Genomic DNA, 21,065 nt, shown 5'->3' on the forward strand with positions numbered 1-21,065 from the left:
ATACATATATTCATAGCAAATTCTTTTCTTCTAAAAGTTACATAAGCACAGGACTGAAAATTTGTATTAGAGAAAGGAAAAAAACCATCACCAGCCATTATTAACATTTGGCATATCCTGCACCCATGCTTTTTTTTTTTTTTTTTTTTTTTTTTTTTTGAGTATAAAAAACCATTCTTGGGCTGGGCACAGTAGCTCACACCTGTAATCCCAGCACTTTGGGAGGCCGAAGTGGGCGAATCACGAGGTCAGGAGTTCGAGACCAGCCTGGCCAACATGATGAAACCCTGTCTCTACTAAAAATAACAAAAAATTAGCTGGACGTAGTGGCAGGCACCTGTAATCCCAGCTGCTTGGGAGGCTGAGGCAGGAGAATCACTTGAACTCAGGAGGTGGAGTTTGCAGTGAGCCGAGATTGCGCCACTGCACTCCAGCCCGGGCGACAGAGTGAAACTCCATCTCAACAAAAACAAACAAACAAAAAAACAGCAACAAACCATTCTTTAATCATTCTATTTCAGCAGTTTATGAAAGCTAATAAAAGTGTTTAAATTGACAAACAGCTTCAGTTTACAGAGGAAAGAGCTTCAGTTTACAGAGGAAATAGCTCATCTATTCTTAGCAAATATTTAGTAGTGATCAACATGATGAGAAATATAGGAAAAGTAAGAGGCAGTCTTGCTTTTGAAAAAATTGATGCTGAGGAAATATGACTACAGACTCAGTACTAGCAACCACAGGGACTGCTTTACAGAGGAGGTAGGACTTGATCTCTCTGCCTTGCAGGAGGATAGGGCTTTGAGTGGATGTGTGGTGGAAAGGAGGCACTTCTTGGCTGGAGAGGATGGCATGTGTGGAGAAAGAGCATTCTAAGTTTCAGGATTTCTAAGAGGAGAAATGGAAGTTCATGGTGTAAAGGGTGGGCTCAGAGAATTATGGGCCTTGAAAATCAGGAGAGTGGTTTTAATGTGGAAAAAGAATGTCTAATTGTGCCGCAGAGGGAATGGATCAGGGTGGCTACCCAGTTGGTTTGATGGCATTGAGAACGGGGTGAAATGGTGACTGTATGACATTTGAAACAAAGAAATCAGAGGAATTAGTAGTAGGGCCTGTGTGTGGCTGTTCCCTTGCTTGTGTGCTCTTCCCTCACATACCTGCATGGCTTCCTCCCTCACCTCCTGCAAGTCTTTGCTCAGATGACACCTTTTTCTCAGTGAGGCTTATCCTGCCACCTTTTAAAATATTGTCATCATCCTACAGTGCTTTCCTTCTCTGTAACAATACCTTCTAACATACTGTATTTATTTACTTATCATATGTACTTATTTACTGTTTATTGTCTCCTTCCTATCATTCTATGCTTTGTGAAAGTGGATGTCTTCGTTTTGTTCACTAATGTATCTCAAGTGTATGGAAAGTGCCTGGTGCATCCTAGGCACTCAGTAAATATTTGTTGAGTGGCAGTAGGTCTTAGCTGTAAAGAGGTGGAGTACAGAAATTCAGAGTGACTCCATGAAAGAAAAAAGAATGACTCCAAGCTTTTTTAGGCTGGATAATGCCTTTAACTTAATGAGTAATTTGGCACGAGGATTAAGGGGAGACGAATTCTGGTTTAAGCATGTTGAGTTTGAGGTGAAGGTAGCCAAATAAAATTGCTCAGTAGTCAGCAAAGATTAAAAAAAAATGGAACCTAGTTGGAAATGGGAGAGCACCTTAAGCAAAGAAATGGCTACTAGCATCTAGCATTCACCTCATATTCTCTCTCTCTCTCTCTGTCTTTCTCTTTTGGGGGTAGGAGGATTCTAGTGTCCTAAAACGCTACCTTAAATGGAGTTTTTATTTAGACCCTGAAGTCCTAGCTTGTATCTGGAGTCCTGGTCCGTTTGCTGGGATATGGTTCTTTCCTGTTTTGCAGGTTCATGCTATTTTTCCCCCACCTCTCTTAGTAAAGATGTATATATTCAGAATTACTTGTGATCTTCTGGTTGTATTGAAATTAACCTTCAGACAGTGCTGCTTTCTCTGCAGTAATGCGTTTGATCTTTTGGGAGTGTGGTTCTTGGCTGAGATAAAAGAGAGGAAGTTTCCTGCTTGCGGCCTAGGCCTCAGGTCATGGTTGCTGATGTTACAGGTGTCAGCTTTACTATCTCCTGGAGCTCCCTGATGGCTATCCTTTTAAATGCTTTTCCTGTTGTTTTTCTCAATGAACCAAACACTGGTGCAGTTGTATCCCTAGACCATCTCTCTTTTTCTATTTGGATTGATCTAACTTAAGTTTTTCTTTCAGTTTTGAAGGCAGATTAAATTCATGTGACTTGGTTGTCAGAAATTTAATGAAATATTTGTTTATAGGAGTAGTATATAAGCACCAACATATCTGGCTGTAATTAGAGTCTAATCAGTGTATCTGTGACTCACTTTTCAAAAGAGGATAGTTCCTAATTTACCTGATCGTTGTGAAGATAGTGTACAGTAGTATTTACACTTAGTACATAGCCTGACACCAGTAGGTGTTCAATAAAGGGGAATTATTATATATTTAAATAAGTGAAAGAATGTCTTCTGAAAGAAGAAATACATGTCTGTGTAATGAAGAACTAGAATTAATTGGTAGACTGAAAGGCAGAATTCAGCTCAATGTAAGGAATGACTCTCTACCATAGCTGTCAAAATGGAACATTGTAAGGTAGTATGTTCCCTGTCACCCTGGAACTATTCAGGCAGAGGCTAGATAACCTTCTGTCTGAGAAATTGTAGAAGGAATTTCTTACATTAGGTAGGAGGTCGGACTTGTTTATCTCTAAGCTCTGTTTCTCCTCTAAAATTCTGTACTTTTGGGCATAATCCAAGCTTCCTTGCTTACTGGTTTTAGCCAAATATAGTCTAAATATCCCTAGGATTCATGGCTTCAAGATGAGCAGTATCTTGTTGCTCCTGTATTATACGAGAAAAGTTAGTTTATCCATTGATTGGCTTTTATTTTGGTCATTTTCCAAAAAAGGATTTTGGAAGCTTGAAATAATAGCAAATTCAGTAAGACCAAATCTACTGACCACAAAAGATAAGAATCAGTAAGTCAAAAAGGGAAAGAAAAAGAGAACAATTATCCGTAAGTTTAGCTGAGGAAAGCTTTAGAAGTTGAACACAATACTTAGCTCTGAGTTTTCTGGTAACCAAGGCAAGTAAGGAAGACTGATAATTTGCATAGATCTCATTGCCTATCGAGAATTCATGAGGAGACTGCCACCTTCCTTAATAAAGTGGAGCCCCAAATGCCAAGATTGTCATACAGGGAGAATCTCCAAGTGGTAAGGGGTTATTGCTGGATCTGGCAATAATCTGATTCTTGTTCTGAGGCTTCCCCTTTAACACGTATTGAGGGTTCAATTTAGTGCTGCTGCCTCCATCTTTCTTCTCCAGTTTAAGTCTCTGATCCAAGTATGAACACATTAGTCTTTCCCTAATGCCAATGGAACAGCTGATGTAAGGCTAGGACATTTAAATCAAGCTTTGCTAAAAGCTGGAGGATAATGAATAGAGAGCAACATGAAACTATTTAGTCTGGCTTACAAAGACATTTTTCTCATGCCCTTATCTTTTGGTGTGTCTCCATTTGATACACTTCATCAGAGTACTGCTACCAAAGGCAGAGCCAGACATTTACCTTCAAACAGGTGCAAGTCAGTAAGATCCAGAGTGTCTTTGCTTGGGTTTCTTGTTTGAAGAACTGCTTCATTTCTGAGTAATGGACGTTCGGAATGATTACTTTAGGAGAGACCACACTTATCTGAGAGTGTGGCCCTACTGTACTGGTCTCACAGTAATCCCAGTATTCATGGAAAAGATAGGCACGTACATTAGCATGAGGGCATTCTGTGGTTAGAAGCATTCTGATTTCATTGGGAAAAACAAGCTTCTCTCTGTTCTTGAGCAGAAGCTTTTATAGAAGTCTTTGTACATGGGCCATTGAAAAATAAAGTGAACAATTCGGGTTTATCACTCATGATTTGTAAGGATTCACTTTTCCTTTTTTCTGCAGTTGCTGTACTACTTCAGGTCTGTTCCAGTGTTTCCTTGTTCTCACCACCAAGACTGAACCTCCTTATTTTTGTTCATTTGCTTCAGGAAAACCATTCCATCTAGATTTCCTAGGTGTAAACCTCACTGATTACATAATAGTGTATATTTATAGTTCTAGGACACCTTCTTCAGGCATCCTGTTACATTTCTACATTATAAGATTCTTAAATATGCATTGAATTACAAATAGGTCCCCAGGGAAAAGGCAAAAACGAATGGCTTTTTCTGCGAGAAACTAGGACTAATATAGATATTTGGGAGCACTGAACATGGAGGATAGAGTTAAACTTGAAAAGACATACAGAGATAGAAAAGCAGCAACTGCCCTTTCATTTGTATGCAAGCACACGATATATGTATGGGTTTTTTATTTTTTGCTTGATGTATTCATTTCCAAATCAAACTATAATGTGCTCTAATTGGGTCTCTTTGTTCAGCACGTGGTTGTTGATTTGAGTACTTTCTCCAGTTGAAAAACTGACATTTTAATTTTGTTATTCAATGTGTGATAGATTTAAATAAAAACACCCAAGATTGTGTATTGTAGATTTCCTTCAACAATAATTATATATAATTATTTTATCAAAATAAACAAGTTAAAGTAGTTTTAGTTATTTTGTCTCATTTTACATTTGGGAAAAAAATTACAAATCAGGGGCCAGAGTCTGGTCATGTTTGTCAGTGAGGAAAGACAATTTCTGATTGCCAGTCCCACCAAAGCGTTGGCAGATTAACACAGCATTGTAGATTACTTTCCTAGGAAGAGATGCTCCTTTTTTCTCCCTTTCCATTATTTTGCTTTCCTTCTTTCCATGGTGCATTGTCCTTTTGTTTTCTTCCCTCTTATTTCGATGCATGTATAAACTTGAGCCTTTCTGCTCTCACATTCTTTCTCCCCATGATCATAATTGTTTCTTCACTTTATTCTTAAAAAAAAAAAAAAAGGCCACATAAGTATTTTATGTAGATCTCATCTATCATTTAAGTTTTGTCAGATCCAGCCTGCTCTTGCCTTACCATGGGAGAAGGGAAAGGAGGGAGGAGTTTTAAGGGATTTTAGGCATCAGGCAGAAGTCTTAAGGGAAAACTCTGCGAGGACCAACAGGCTCAGAATTAGCTGTGCATTGCAAACAGATGGTGTGTCCCTGAGGAAATAGCGTAGTTGCCCTAAGCAATTGGGTGCTTCCATCTGATTTAGCTTAGTCTCTGTAACTGGGAAAAAGGAAAATCTTATGGAAGAAATGAGTATAATCACCTGTGAACCATTCTAAACTATTATCTAGAGACTAGTGATTATTGACTTACATATAGATTTCATAATTCTGCAAGATAGTCTTCGGTGTTGTATCATCAGTTATCCAAGGTATAAATAACATCAAGACCCTTATGCCTCTGAGCCTGATAGATCCTTATCTTTTAATAACCAACCCCCCACTTTCTTCAGTAGCCATGATGCTACTGTATCAATGCTACCAGCAATTGGAAACCCATATTCCTAATGCCAAGTCTCGGCATGTAGATTTTGAGGTCTGAAAACTTTATTAGCTTGGTTACAGTACATCTCAAGCCTAAGTTTTCATATACACATAGTTTAGTCTCAAAGGGCAAATGTTTCCCTGAAAGGAGTTCAGTCAACACTAGATGCTTATATCTTTAGGCTCCAAGGGAGTCCAAAATTTAATGATTAAAAATATTATAAAAATGCAAATATAGAAATAATACAAAAGCTCCTTCCTTTTGGTGGGCTTTTCTGTCCTTGCTTGGTTCAATTCAGCTGTGTTCTTCTAGGAGACTGCAACCACAATTTAACTGCTTTGCTTTGGTATTTTGTTTGACAAGGGAGATGAATGTTTCAGATGAGACGGAGTCTCACTGTTGTCACCCAGGCTGGAATGCAGTGGCGCGATCTTGGCTCACTGCAACCTCTGCCTCCTGGGTTCAAGTGATTCTCCTGTCTCAGCCTCCCGTGTAGCTGGGATTACAGGCATCTGCCACCACGCCTGGCTATTTTTTTTTTTTTTTTTGTATTTTTAGTAGAGATGGGGTTTCACCGTGTTGGCCAGGCTGGTGTCGAATTCCTGACCTCAGGTGATCTGCCTGCCTCGGCCTCCCAAAGTATTGGGATTACAGCGTGAGCCACCGTGCCCGGCCTTCAATTTTTTGCTTTAAGTTAGAATCCTGTTTGCTTACTTTTTCTGACCCAAATGTTTTAAAAATGTTTTCCTGTGTTTTCATTTAAAAGATTGGTTTTACCTCTCACATTGAGATGTATCTGGAGTTGGTTATTTATTATGGTATGAGATTTTTATTATTTTTAAAATACGGATATCTGGTTGACTCAGAACCATTTATTGGTAAAACCTTTTTTCCCCCAGTGTACAATCACCTTCATCATAAATCAAGAGGTTGTATATGTGAGGGTCTGTTTCTCTGTAATCTCTGTTCTGTTTGCCCATTTGTCCTTGTGCCATTACCATACTGTCTTAATTATTATGATGTTAGGAGTCTTGATATCGAGTAGTGTTAAGTCTTTCAAAGATTGCTTTGGTTATTCTTGCGATGTTGTTTTTCCATATAAATTTCAGAATCAACTTGTCAGTTCCCACTGAATAAAAAAACCCTGTGGGGATTCTGATTTGATTTTATTGAATCTACAGATCACTTTATGGAATATTGACCTCTTTACAGTATTGAATCTTCCAGTTAGGAACTTGTCACTTTTCTCCATTTATAAATACATTTTAAAATTTTATTTTATCTCCTTTGTAATTTCTATCAATAAGTAATATTTTTTAAGCTTTCTCTGCAGAGGTCTTTACCTGTCTTTTGTTAGGTTTATTCCTAGTTTTTAGATTTTTAAAAAACGTTTTCTATTTATTACTGGTTTAAGAATGATTTTTTAATTTAATTTTTTTTGGTATAGTGAGTAACCTTATATTAGTGACCTTGCTAGATTGACTAATTGATTCTAATAGTTGATCTGTAGGTCACTTTTGGATTTTCCATGTACATAGTTGTCCTCTGCAAGTAATGATAGTTCTGTGTCTTTCCAGTCTATCTTCCTTTTGTTTATTTCTGACTTACTACACTCAGACTTCTAATACAATGTTGAGAAGTAGTGATGGATATCTCTTTCTTATTTGTGATTTCAAGGGAAAATGACAGTCATGCAACATTAAATGTAATGCCTACTTTTATGCCTTTTATTTAATCTGATTATTTCAGAATTTTTTTTAAATTCTGCAATTTACTGAAATTTTTAAATATCATGAATAGCTGTTGAATTTTATCAGTTTACTAAGATTTTTAAAAATCATGAATAGCTGTTGAATTTTATCAGTTTTTTTGTTTTTGTTTACATCACCTAAACTGCCAAACTCCCTTACTGTTTTCTTTCTTTTTTTTTTTTTTTTTTTTGAGACAGGATCTCACTCTGTTGCCCAGGATGGAGTGCTGTGGCCTGATCATGGCTCACTGCAGCCTCAAACTCCTGGGGCTCAAGTGATCCTTGTGCCCCAGCCTCCCAAATAGCTGGGACTACAGGTGCGTGCCACCACACCTGGCTCAAACTTTTATTTTGGCATCTTTTGTACAATGTTTTTGTATATCCTCTACCTAAAATGACTTTCCTTTCTTCACTAGCTTTCCTTAAGTCTTAGTTTAGGTGTCATATTTCAGAGAAATCTCCCTTTTCTGTCCTCTGATCTGTGCACTTTGCATCATCATTTATCAGTGGTGTGTTCTCTGCATTGTGAATCTGAGGGCAGGAATCTCAATCCTAATTATCTCTATCCTCCTAAAGGTTTTTTCTTTCTTCCTACACAGGTTACATTCACTGTTGTGTTCTGAGAAAAGGTGTTCAGGCCTTGCTTTCTGCTTCTAAAATTACTAACTGCCCAGGACCATCAGTTCATTTCTTCAACTGTGGCTCCAACAGATCTTTCGCTGTTTGCTGGCCCAGGTATTGCTCTCCTCTGCCCCGAGTCAATGGCAGCTGGGAGTGGTTACCACTTCCTTCTCTTACCACAGTTCCTTCTCTACCACAGTTCTGTTTTGTATGTCATTCCCCTAGCCCAGGATGATCAGCCACTTTCATTTACGTTCATTATTACACCTTATTATCTGTGCAACCAAGCCAGTCTCTCCTACAGCCACTCGTGCTTTCCAAAGGGAAAGGTTGAAATTTTCGGTTTTGTCCTACGTGAGGGGTTGTGGGGAGTAGGGGTGGAAATCACTGTAGATTATCAAGTAATCCTTTTTTTCTTTGTGTACTTTTGGAATAAATCTAGATTATGTTGATGTAACTGTTAGGACATTTCTGTTTCTTCATCTCTAAAGGAGCTGGGATCTGATATTTCTGTTCATATTCCTTCCAGCATGAACATTTTATGGCTAATTAGATATTAACTTATTTATTAGGGATATTACATATACACACTGGGTGTGTCCCTACACTGTTAATTTGGGTTGGAACTGAAAATATACTTTCTGTGTGTGCCTACTGCTACTGTAGTGAAGTTCTTGAGCCAGGTCTGTTCAGTCATATTGTTGAAAAACTGTATGAATATTTATGAAGGAGAAAGAGCTGATAGGTACCATGAACATTCACTGTTGTATATGCATATGGTTTATATTGTGTTCTGTGTCAGTATTGCCTACCAGAGCTGTCTCAACATTAGCTCTGATTCTCTGTCTAGCATCTAGACCAGAGACTGGCACGTAATAGGAGCTCCAAAGAAATACTTGTTGAAAAAGTGCATAAACTAATTTTTGAACATTTTATTATGTGCTGGGCACTGTGCTAAGTATTCTATGTATGTTATTTCATTAACCCTCAAACCTTCTGAGATTGGTACTGTTTGTTAGTATGTTATAAATTTAGGAAGTAAGTTGAAGAAATTTAGGTTCAAATAAGTTAAGTGACTTCCTCAGGATTACTCAGTGCCTGACTGGCAAAGATAGGATTTTAACTTAAGTTTTTCTGTCTCTGAGTTCCATCAACTTAACTACCATATCCTTATAATACCTACCCACTAGTCAAATTAAAATCTAATAAGAAACTGTGTAAAAGCATACTTAGATTGAGAGGAAATAAGAAATTTGGTTATTGTTTTAGCACTCACCTTTAGACATAGAAGTTTCTCCATTTCTTTTCAGGGCCTGGGGTAAGGCAAAGTGTGCACATCTGCTCTGTATATTAAAATATCCCCTCAACTCATTGAAGTGGAACAAAAACAAGGTCACTTGACAGGACTGTAATTGTAATCACACTATACAGCTTTACTTCCTGCCCTTTAGTAGTAGGACCATTCCCTTGTCCTTAAACATGCTTCTAAAATACCAGTTTTAATGGCTATATAGTCTTTCATTTATGATTGTATAAGGATTCATTCTGTCATTGTATTGTCATTCACATAGGTTGTTTTCAATCATAAAATACTGTAATGAACATCTGCAAGTTTAGATTTTTGCTCTCACCTATTGTTTCCTCAGACAACTGTAAGTAGTAGAATTGATGGATTAAAAGATACTTTTTAAAGGCTCTGACTCTTCTAAAATGTGTTGTTAAACTCCTCAGATCTGCTAACCAGATCTTTATGCTGTACTTGTGTGATTTATTTCGAATCTAAGTGAAAGCCTTTGTATTAGTTACCCTGTTAAATCCCATCTTGCCATTTGGGCAGCCTATTCTTAGTGTGTTTTCTCTGATATCAGTTAACATTATATTGGCTAATTCCATAGAAACTAGGAGACTGGAAAATGAAGATAATGTGGAAAAACAAGAGCTTGTGAATTTGGGAGTGCCCTGTTCTTTTAAGATGTGATGTGGGTTAAATGATAAACAATGCATCTTAAATTCTTTAAAAGTGGCAGAAGTAAATGGAATTTATCTGGAAAAAAATCAGGCGTTTATTCTGATGCCCTAAATTCAGGGGTGAAATATTATCTGGACTAGAGGAAAATTTTATGTACATTATATGGTGTTCTCTATTTTGACAAGCTTACTTTGATATTACTGCTGCAAGGTAGCCCCAGGAGGGTTGAATTGAGAAGAACTGAGTATTTTGAGGAACAAAACCTAGGATAGTAGGCTGGAGGGAATTGGAGGTCAGGGTTTTAGCCATGTATACAGAGATAAGCAACATATTTAATAAAAAGAAAAGGAGAATCTATATAGTATGCTTTACTCCAAAGCTGGATGAGGGAGAAAAGAGGACACGTCTCCTTGAGAAGGGGGCATGTGTTGAGAATGGAGAAAAGGGGTAAGGCAGATTACTCAGAAGAACTGGGGTAGAAGAATAGGTTGGATGATAAAAGGGGCTGACATTAGTCCCTGAAAGTTTTTTTTAAATAACTTCCAACTTTTGCCTTCACCTTTGCCAGCAGTGATGTGATCTGCTTTCAGCTGTAGTGAAGCAAACTGCATAAAGGACATTGTGCATGTTAGGTCTTTTACTTGCCTGTTGGTACATGTTTGTAATATTTGGAAATACTCTCACTGCGAAGAAAAGTATAGTTGTGCTGTAGTGGGTAGGGTGAGGAAAATAAGGGTCATCACCAGCAAAGTCAGAGTGATGAAAAAACTGGATTACAACACTCTGCTTGACTTTGCATAGATAAGTAAGCCAAGCAGAGTGTTTCCTGGATGTAGTTAAAATACAAGCTTGGAGCACAGGTAAAAGGCCAAGAGGCTTGGAGATGTACATCTGAGATGTACCAAAGGGCCAAGTGCAAAGTAAGTTTGGGAAGTTTAGTGTCATATAAAAACTAATAAAGAAAGGGTGGTACTCTGTCTCATATCCTGAAACGTTTTGAAAAGAATATTGAATTTGACCAGAAGGGCATTGCTAGTGAATTTCAAAGAGAGATTTCAGTTGAGCTCTGAACTGGAGGAAGATGGGTGATAGAAGGCTGGAGAGGGCCAGTAACAAGGGTTGAAAAAGGAAAGAGTATTCAAGCGTATGCATAAAAAGACTACGGGTAGGTTGTGTAGATGATGACACACTAAGCCTGGGAAGACAAGGTTTCGGTGCTAATTTTTATTTCTTTAACAAGGGTGATAGAAATATCTGTTCCATATATTAATACTATACACAACTGTTTACCTCTCAGCTTTTCTAGCAAGACATATGGGCTTGTGAATTAACCCTGGGTAGCCCTGGCATTAGATAGAATTAATAGTGCTTCCATATGTGACCTCGAGACGTACTGAAATGAGGCAACCAAGGAAATCCTTTATATTGGGACCAAGAGCCAAGATCTCAACTTGGGATATGTTACCCCGAGAGTTGTTACCCCGATACTATAATACCATGAATAATAACCCCAAGGGTCCTGTTGTCTCTTTTTCCTCATGTCACTTCCTTTGGTACTAACTGTCACCATGCTAACATCTGCAAACTTTGAAAATTCTGATTTATTCTGCAATATTTGGAAATTTCACTGCTAGTAATTGTATTTCCTGGCATGGTTCTGATATAATTTTCTGTGTACACAGTAGCTTTTCCTTTTAGTGCTGAATCACACTGAAATCCTTGTTTAACCTAAGTTATAGTTGCAAGGGAGCTATCAAGACAAATAATTACAGTGATGGTGAAGTGAATACAAGTCAAACATCCCAATCTGAAATTCAAAACCTTTTGAGCACACCAACATGATGCCACAAGTGGAAAATTCTGCACATAAGTACTTAACATGACCTTTGTTTCATGCTCAAAATTATTTCAAATATTATATTAAATTACCTTCAGACTATATATATAAAGCATATATGAAACATGAATGAATTTTATACTTAGACTTGGGTCCCATTCCCAAGATGTCTCATTATGTATATGCAAATATTCCAAAATCTGAAAAAAATCCCAAATCCAAAACACTTCTGGTCCTGAGCATTTTGCATGAGGGATACTCAACTTGTAATCTTTTCTATGTATAGCCAAGTTTGCACATACATAGGTTACAACAACCCATCATGTCTTAACCTTTCAGTCTGGAGGCTGGAGTTTTCTTTTTACTTTGATTGTAAATTGTATTCAGATTTTAGAAATGTAAAGCTTAGAGAAATGTGCATCTCAAGATTAAGAAAGCTATGCCCACTGTTAAAGACTGGGGCATGGAAACAAAGTTGGACAGTGTAGTAGAAAGGTCCTAAACAGGGGATTTGGTTCTTATTTTTGCTATCAAGCAGAAGAGTCAAAACTGTAGGAGTCTAAACCAAATCAGGTCCACCTGGGAGTCTTTAAAGTTCAGGGTTACTTAGCATGGGGATAGTGGTATAGCAAATAGTTGCGTAGGTTTCACTCGTGGGCTGGTGATAATATAGTGAGGATTCACATCCGCCTGTAATCTGGGTAGAATATTTGTATAAATCATTTTGGTTTTTTGGTTTTCTTTTTAAAATTTTTAAAATTGTTTTGCTTTTCTTAAGTTTTGGTTTCTACATTAATAAAATGACAGAACTGAATTGCCTAGATGATATTCAAAGTTTCATGTGGTTCTGTTAGTCTGGGATTCTACAGTGGAATTTTGTCACTACTTTTGGGAAGAAGTTTACCTTTGGTGGCCTACGAATAAAAACCACATTGGCACAATGCCATTTATCATATGGGATAATTCTGTGTGTTTATATAATCATTTATGTTCGTTTCCAAATGTGTTAATAAAGTACAGTATCTCATTTGATTAGCTCAGATGATGAAATAGGTCAGAGAGGTATTATGTTTATTTTCCTGATGAAATAAAACATCGTAGTTAGCATCTTGAACAATTTAAATTTGATCATCTTACTTGGTATGCCAGCCACTAAGGATGAAATCCTGCCACTGAGAAAGAAAACCCAGTCAGGAAAGCTTTCTCACCCTTATCTATCTAACAAATTGTACATATTCTCCAAGTTCTGACTTGAATGCTGGTGAAGCTTTTCTTGATAATCTCTTCTACCGCAGCAGAGTAGAAACACTTTGATCATTCTTCTCAGGACTCAGGATTTTAATTATCTGTTTAATGCCTTTCCCTTCCACCCTAGTGAACTACTCAAGTGCAAATACCTTGTCTTACTCATCTCTGCACCTCATAGCCCACACTGTACCTGGCATATAGAGATGCTTAGTGAATAATTGCAGAATTAAATGAAAGAGTCAAGGTGATGTGTTGCAGAGTGAGGAGAACTTGGGCTTTGGGCTGGCGGAAGGAGGTGTCTTCGTTTACGTTTTTTAGATTGAAATTTTGCCATGTATATGCGTTTAAAAATTTAAAACCTAGTTGAATAAAAGGTTGGGGGGGGCAGTATCCAGGGGCCAAATCTATCTATTAATAAAATAAATTTGAATTTTTTAAAAAAATGGCAATTAAAACTCATGTTCATGGAAAAAATTAAGTTCTTATTTTAGTTTTTCCCTAAACGATCTTGCCGTATCACATAACAGCAGTCTTGTAGTCAATCAAGACTGACTTCAAGTGGTGAAATGGAATTTTTTAATTCCCTGAAGAGAGAAATCTTTACCTAGTTAAGCTTTGTGTTATCTTGATGTTTTTATTTGTCTAGTGACCTCTTCTGATTGAAAGAGTAGTTAAGAAAAACCCTTTAGTACTGACTTTTTCAAATTTACCGTAATGTAATGACCTCTTTGAAAGGAGAAGTACAGAGTGTATTTTTCATAATGTTACTTAAATTCTGTAGACATGAAACTAGATATAAAACCCTTATGTTCTTGGCTCATACACCACTATAAACCAAATCTGCAAATTAAATACAAAGACAACTACAAAAAAAAACAAAATTCAAATGAATACAATTATTCCATGTGACAGATGATGTTTAGGTTTTGCAGTAGAAAAAAATAGCTTTAGGTCTAATTCCATTTTAAATGTGTTTCTGTATTTTAACTTCAGTGATAATAAAAGCTGTGAGTAGTGCCTCTTCTCATCAGTAATGTTATGCAGGAGGGCATTAATGACTTCAAGGCCTTGTTGGTAAGTTCAGGATGAGACATCATACCTAACCAAAACACTTGACAGCAAGCATTCCTCAAATACAGGCTTATAAGTTTTACTGAGATGTCATCCATTTTGTTCATTGGAAGATAAGGTTAATATCTTGACATTATTGAAATCTTCATTAAATGATTTTCTAAACCAGTTATTGCTGGAAATGAGAATGGAAAAACATTGCATACCTACAATTATATTTACTGCTAACAAATGTTTGCAAATTGTACTACACATGTAGGACCCATATAGCACTTGCATATAATAAAGTACATATATGGTATTGGCTGTTAGGCTATTGGCTTTTGAATATGCATGCCATGCCTGTATTGCCATATGGTCGATTCAAATTCCCTTTATTTTTTACTCTTTCTTTTACAATGACCATGAAACTTATGCTGTGTGTAGTGTGCCACAAGGACATTTGGCCTGAAGGGGATCTTCACACAGCTGAAGAAGCAGCAGTGAAAGCCTAGTGCCAGTGTTGAGACAGTGGCTACTCATGATCTTGAATGTTTATCCTTGTTTTTAGATTATCTTTGAAGTGAAAATATGTTCTCAAACCTTGTACCCAACTTATACATCCTTTTTTTCTCCCAGCATATTTGGGAGACATTGTTTTAGCAAATATTTTTCTGATCACTATCTAAGGAGCCAGGATTCAGAGATGTGAAAAACAAAACAAGCTTGGCCCTTCCTGAGGCAATGAAAGACCCTTTAACAGCAAGCTATAAATAGATTGATTTGTGCTGTTCTAAAGGTATGCAAAGAGCACTATGGAACATATTGAAAGGAGATACCAATTATTGTGAAGGTAAGGGCGAGGTTTAGAGCACATAATGGCAAAGATCCTGTTGAAATAGGGTCTTAAAGGATGAGTCAGATAAGAAGATAGGTTTAAACTAGACAGAGAGATGGTATATGTAAAGACCAAGGTCATGAAAGACATTATTATTATAATGGTGAGAGGTGTGTGGCCCTAGATAGCATTTGCCATGTGAGAAGTAAATTGGAACCCCAAACTAAAAGTCTTGTTAGGCTAGGTGTTTAGCCCTTATCTCATCAGCATAGGGGAGCCATGGTGATCTGAGAACTGGGAGAGTATTCAGGGCAATATTTTTTATGTATAGCGGTTACCACATTGTATTACAGTGTTCTCCTTCACTTGTCATTGGAGCTCTTCAAGTGCTGTGACCATTAGTTATTAATCTTTGTGTGCTAAGCTTTTGGTAGAGTAACTGATAAAAGTAATGCTTAGAAAACATGGGTTGAATGACTAATCATGAGTAAAGAGGATTTAGGAGAGAATTATGACAATGTCCTTCGGTGGTAGTTTTAATGCTTTGTGGGTCACAGACTCCATTGTGATTGACTTGGAAAGCTTTTCCTTGAAAATGTAAATACATATAACATTTGGCTTATAGTTTTATGGGATTCATGTACCTCTGAAGCCAGTCCATGAATTCCTGGTTCAGAATTCCTCCTTAGGAAATCATACCCAGACAGCCATCACCATCACACCTTGTCATGAATAATTACTGTCTCTTTTAGCAGTCTTTATTACGATTGTGTCTCTTTCTTGTCATTTCCTTGAGTTTCTTTCATACTTAGGAAGCAAATAGCTGACCTGTCTATGAATAAAGAAAGCGTTTTTAATAATGATTAAGGTAAAACTTTACTGGTCTGTAAAGATAATAGACAAGTATGTGAATTAAGCCAGCAACCAAGAAACAGCTACTTGAGGGAGAACCTGACATTCCTGAATTTGAGTTGAGCAAGTGAGTTGGGAGTCTGCAGGGCCATCCTCAGACTTGGTTTGCTAGAAGGACTCACAGGACTCAGAAAAGCTGTTACAGTCATGGTTATAGTGTATTACAGCAAAACCATACAGTTAACATCAGCAAAAGCAAAAGGCACCCGGGGTGAAGTCTAGGAGAAATCAGACACAGGTTTCCAGGTGTCCCATTCCAGTGGCATAGCATAGATGGCCTTAATTCTCTCAACAACAATGTGTGACAGCATGCACGAAGTTGTCAACCAGGGAAGTTCGCTTGAGCCTTGGTGTCCAGGGTTTTTACTGTTGGTCAGTCACTTAGGCTTGCAGCATCTGCATGACAGGCTTCAGCCCCTCAGACTTCTCCTACCCGGCCCCCCAGCAGTAATAGGTGTTCACTGTAAATCACATTGTTAGAATAAGCTGTCTGACAAAATTGGTACCATGTGACCCAAGGCCTCAGGCATACAGAAATATTCTTATCAGGGAGAATATTCCAAAGGTTCAGAGCTCATCTACCAGGAGCCAGCCAAGGCCAGTTTTGAAGACAAGTCTTTCTTGGGAATATGCAGGGTTTGAGCAACTCAGTCCTGCTGAGTTAACCCTTTCTTGTACAGCAAGTTAGCTCTTCAGGGAGTTAGCTCTGTCTATCCTGCCCCTGTCTGCCTAGCCACTCCTTTTCTAGGTAGAGTGGACCTTGCTGTTCACGTCATAGATGGCCATTCCGTGTACCTAGACTCCTTTTTATTCCTTTGCCAACAAGTAATTGGAATGTTTGGATTTAAGAACATGTCTGTGCTTTGCAATTTCATGTGACCATGGTGAAATTATGCACACATTCTATCATTGTGATTCAACAAGTATTTTTTGAATGCTGCTGTGCATGAGGCATGGTGTTAGATGGCAGATTGACAGAAATGACTAATACAGGTATCTGGCCTCAAGGAGTTTACAGTTTCATAGGAGAAAGAAAAACAAAACTAGCAATTCTGGTAAGCAGTATGTGTTTTGGAGAGCACTTAACTTCATCAGAGAGCATGGTTGAAGGTGTATCTGTGTGTATGAGAAGGTGTTGGTGATAATTAGAAGGCTTCCCTAAAGAGGTCACTCCTGGGGTTGAGCCATAAAGATCAAGTAGATACAAGTGGGCATGAAGCTAGTATTTTGCTGCCAGTCATTTCTGTAGTTAGGTTGCCTATGTGGTTGGAGCATGTATGTATTGTTACAGGTGTAGTCTGCTTGGCTTCCCTAAGAGAATGCCCCAGTCCTGGCCAGAATATACATGTCTTTTTTAGGGTTTGCACCAAGGGGAATAGAGAGTGTCTGGCTCAGTACAAATCTGTTTCCGTTACTCCATTATCCAGAAAGCCACTGAAATGGCATTAGCCTACACTTAATGGGTGGTAGTGTTTTCACACATTGCTTCTCAAAGGAGGAGTATGTGAATGTTTAGTTTGGGCCTGGTAAAAAAAAAAAAAAAAAAAAAAAAGTATAACCATTACAAATTTAAATGTACTTTGTTTCTAATGGGAAGGCAAATGCTTGCCTTGCTTTGATGAAATTGAACATAACAAAATTTTTCTATACTTGGAAGCAAAAAACTTCAGGAAAAAACCTGGGTCCAAATGTTGCTACATTTCCTTGGGCTTCCACGTGTATGTGGTTCTTAATATAATTTGAAACTTCTAAGAGCAACAAATAGTTGTTTTTTGCTTCTAAGAGCAACAAACAGTGCATAGAAATTGTGTGATAATAGGATCAAGAATGTATTATTAGAGTGAATATTGGATAATTTCAAACTGTTAACCTTGAGATTTTTTCTAAGAATCTTTCTCTTTTTCCAGCGTTACAGTGTTTCTGCCACCTCTGTACAAAAGACAATTTTACTTGTGTGACAGATGGGCTCTGCTTTGTCTCTGTCACAGAGACCACAGACAAAGTTATACACAACAGCATGTGTATAGCTGAAATTGACTTAATTCCTCGAGATAGGCCGTTTGTATGTGCACCCTCTTCAAAAACTGGGTCTGTGACTACAACATATTGCTGCAATCAGGACCATTGCAATAAAATAGAACTTCCAACTACTGGTAAGTTGTATAAAATTTTTTTCCTAGATACTACAAGAAAAACTCTTCATACTCTGTGATTTTAGAACTGGAAGGGATCATAAAAATTGTCTAATCCAGCTCATTCCGTTTAGAGGCAAGAAGTGACTTGTCCATTGTTACAGACTTATAAGAGTAACCAAGATCCTGCCTCCTGGGTATGTGTTGTTTAAGAAGGTGGTTCCAGGGTGGACTTCCTCTGAGGTCTGTTATACCTAAAAGGATAGATAAAAGCAAACTCTGACAAAGCCCACAACAACATCTTCAGATTGTCTCTACTTTGTTCTCAGAGTGAATTTCTTCTTCCTTGTATAATGCTCCTATCTTTTAAAGCAATCACAGTCTTTTAATGAGTGGGGATTCAGAGCAGCACTTAACAGTCTAGATGTTTTCATTTTGTAATTTCAGCTTGTTTTATGATCTTTTTGCGTAAATTAATTATACATGATTTCTAGATTTTTGGTCCTTCACCTGTAGTTTACATTTAAAATTTCCTGGGGCTGGGTGCGGTGGCTCATGCCTGTAATCCCAGCACTTTGGAAGGCCTGAGGTGGGCAGATCACTTGAGGCCAGAAGTTCAAGACCAGCCTGGCCAACATGGCAAAACCCTATCTCTACTAAAATAACAAAAATTAGCTGGGCATGGTGGCACATGCTTGTAATCCCACCTACTTGGGTGGCTGAGGCACAACAATCTTTGAACCTGGGAGGCAGAGGTTGCAGTGAGCCAAGATTGTGCCACTGCACTCCAGCCTGGGTGACAGAGTGAGGCTCTGTCTAAAAAAAAAAGATAATAAATAAATAAATAAAATTTCCTGGCAGAACCAGCAGTTTGAAGACTTCATAAACTTTTTAATTTTAAGATTCCGGTTTAATATGGAAGTCTGAGCACATGTATTTAACTCTTACCTCTTTCCCCAGATCCCAAAGGAATATAAAAATGAGGGCAACCTGTATTAATGCTAGTGGGATTAATGGTAGAATGCCACCCACATGCCAGCACTTGTGAGGAACTTCTGCAATTTACAGTACAGATGACACCAGACTAGTAAAGAATTGACTAGCCATATAAGAAAGGTTAGTCATCGAAAAGTCCAGCCAATAACTTAGACAAAGGATTTGGGGGGTGAGGTTAGGGTATGGGGGCAAACTCTCAGTTCCCTTTTAGGAAGCACCTGGCTTCAGTGCTCAGAGGAGCAGACACAGTTGCTCACTCTCCACTCAAAGTTGGTCCAGGCCTTGTGCTAATTAAAGGAGGAAGCACTGCTGTAGCGCAGAAGGAAAAGGCCAGTCCTCCACCTGTTCAGCATGATAATGCAGCTCCCCTGTGGTAAGGGTTGGTCGGACTACAATATCTTTGTGACTTTGATGAAAGCATCTGCAGTTATAATGTGGCAAAGAAAAGGATAATTCCAGAATTTCCCATTTCCATCATTTGAGCTTGAAATATCTGAATAGATATTTACAAAACCTTGTGAAGAAGTCACCTTATTTCTCATGTTTCTAATGAACATATATAAACTTCTCATTTCCAGCTCTAGGATAAGCAAACAGCAAAAAATTACCAATGAAAAGTTAGGAGTTCAAAAGAAGTAGTCTGAACTAGATAGATTAGATGTCATCCTGTGAAATAGGTTTACCACATGATAGGGAAGAACTTTCAAACAGTACAGGGTCTATTTTCAGTTATTCACTATGAAATGAGAACATTTCACAGTTGTTAAAGGTTGCTTTCAGAAGAAAAGCCCAACTGATGAATGTTTTTAAAAATGCACTATTGAGAGCGAACAACAGACTGGATGCCATAATTTTATAGTCAAGTTTGGGACAAGTTTTAAGAAACTGTGTTACAATTCAGAGAAAAGACAGTTGGTGAGCATATTAAGAGATATAGGGAACAGATTTAGATGATCCAATATGCTTATTATCAGAATTCCAGAAAAAGGCATGAAATCATAAAGAAGACAGAATACCAGGCAAAATTAATGAAAAAATATTAATCCAAACACATATAATAAAAAGTATCAATTTCAAGAATAAAAGAATTATATAAGCATTTAACACACATAAACATTGGTTACCTGTAAAAGGTGAAAAAAAAAAACAGGTTCAGATTTTCTGCTTAAATATCAAAGGGCAAATGGAACATTTTTACGATCACCTAAAATTCTTGAAATAGGCCAAGATTTTTCATATACAAAGGCAACAGCCTTCTTGCCACAACTAAGTTCAGTGTACAAGGGTGCATGGACTCTTCCTGAAAGAAATTACTAGAAATAGGATTCTGTATGATAAGAGATTAATCTACTGAAGATCTTAAGAATGGGAAAGATGTGATATGAAAGAAATGGTGGTAAGCAGTAAACCAGTAAGACTCAGGATGAATGTCAAAATAATTGTAATTTTCTGAAACAACCAGAAAATCTTAATTATTAATAGAAGTTACAAGAAAATGATCTGGACTTAAAAGTCCAGGAGGTTAAGATAGTATAAAAAGTATATATATGCAAACTCTGTTAAAAAAAAAAAGTAAAAGATATGTTCTGCCTTTAAAAAATTGGTGGACCTATTGGCCGGGCATGGCTCATGCCTGTAATCCCAGCACTTTGGGAAGCCAAGGTAGGTGGATCACTTGAGGTTAGGGGTTCGAGACCAGCCTGAGCAACATGGTGAAACCCCGTCTCTATTAAGATACAAAAATTAGCCAGGTGTGGTGGCACATGCCTGTAATCCCAGCTACTTGGGAGGCTCAGGCAGGAGAATCGCTTGAACCCGGGAGGCGGAGGTTGCAGTGAGCCAACATCATACCACTGTACTCCAGCCTGGGCAACAAGAGTGAAAATCCATCTCAAAAAAAAAAAAAATTGGTGGAGAGATATATACTGAAATGTGAGTTGTTTAGAAGTGATGAAGATGTATGTGGTTTTTTTTTTCGCTTGTTTTGATATTTTGTTGTTTTTTTTGTTGTTGTTTTTCTTGCTATGAGCATGTACTGGCCTTGGAACAAGAAGACAAGCCAAACATTAAAAAAAATATGATTTTTAAGGAGATGTTAATAGGTATTGTTACAGGTTATTGGTATTAGTGACCTGATGTGATAAGTGGGGAAGGTC

The 21,065-nt window shown here is 37.7% G+C and overlaps 1 protein-coding gene across 29 annotated transcripts in view; it reads left to right on the top strand.

Annotated features, from left to right (window-relative positions):
• The window catches only part of TGFBR1 (transforming growth factor beta receptor 1), a 50,546-nt gene that overhangs the window by 7,520 nt on the left and 21,961 nt on the right, over positions 1-21,065 (top strand). For 21 of the 29 annotated variants that reach the window (NR_176362.1, NR_176361.1, NR_176363.1 and 18 more), the window contains one exon: positions 17,689-17,934. The exons of 3 other annotated variants lie outside the window; for them this stretch is intronic. Coding sequence is in view for 22 of the 26 variants with exons in the window: in NM_001306210.2 (NP_001293139.1) it covers positions 17,689-17,934 (246 nt within the window). In the remaining 4 variants the exon portion in view is untranslated. Of the gene's footprint in view, positions 1-160; positions 16,837-17,688; positions 17,935-21,065 lie in introns of those variants that run through there. 5 more of the 29 variants (NR_176360.1, NM_001407432.1, NM_001407420.1 and 2 more) reach the window with 2 other exon arrangements.

Source organism: Homo sapiens, chromosome 9 (assembly GCF_000001405.40).
Source record: "Homo sapiens chromosome 9, GRCh38.p14 Primary Assembly".
NCBI lineage: Eukaryota > Metazoa > Chordata > Mammalia > Primates > Hominidae > Homo > Homo sapiens.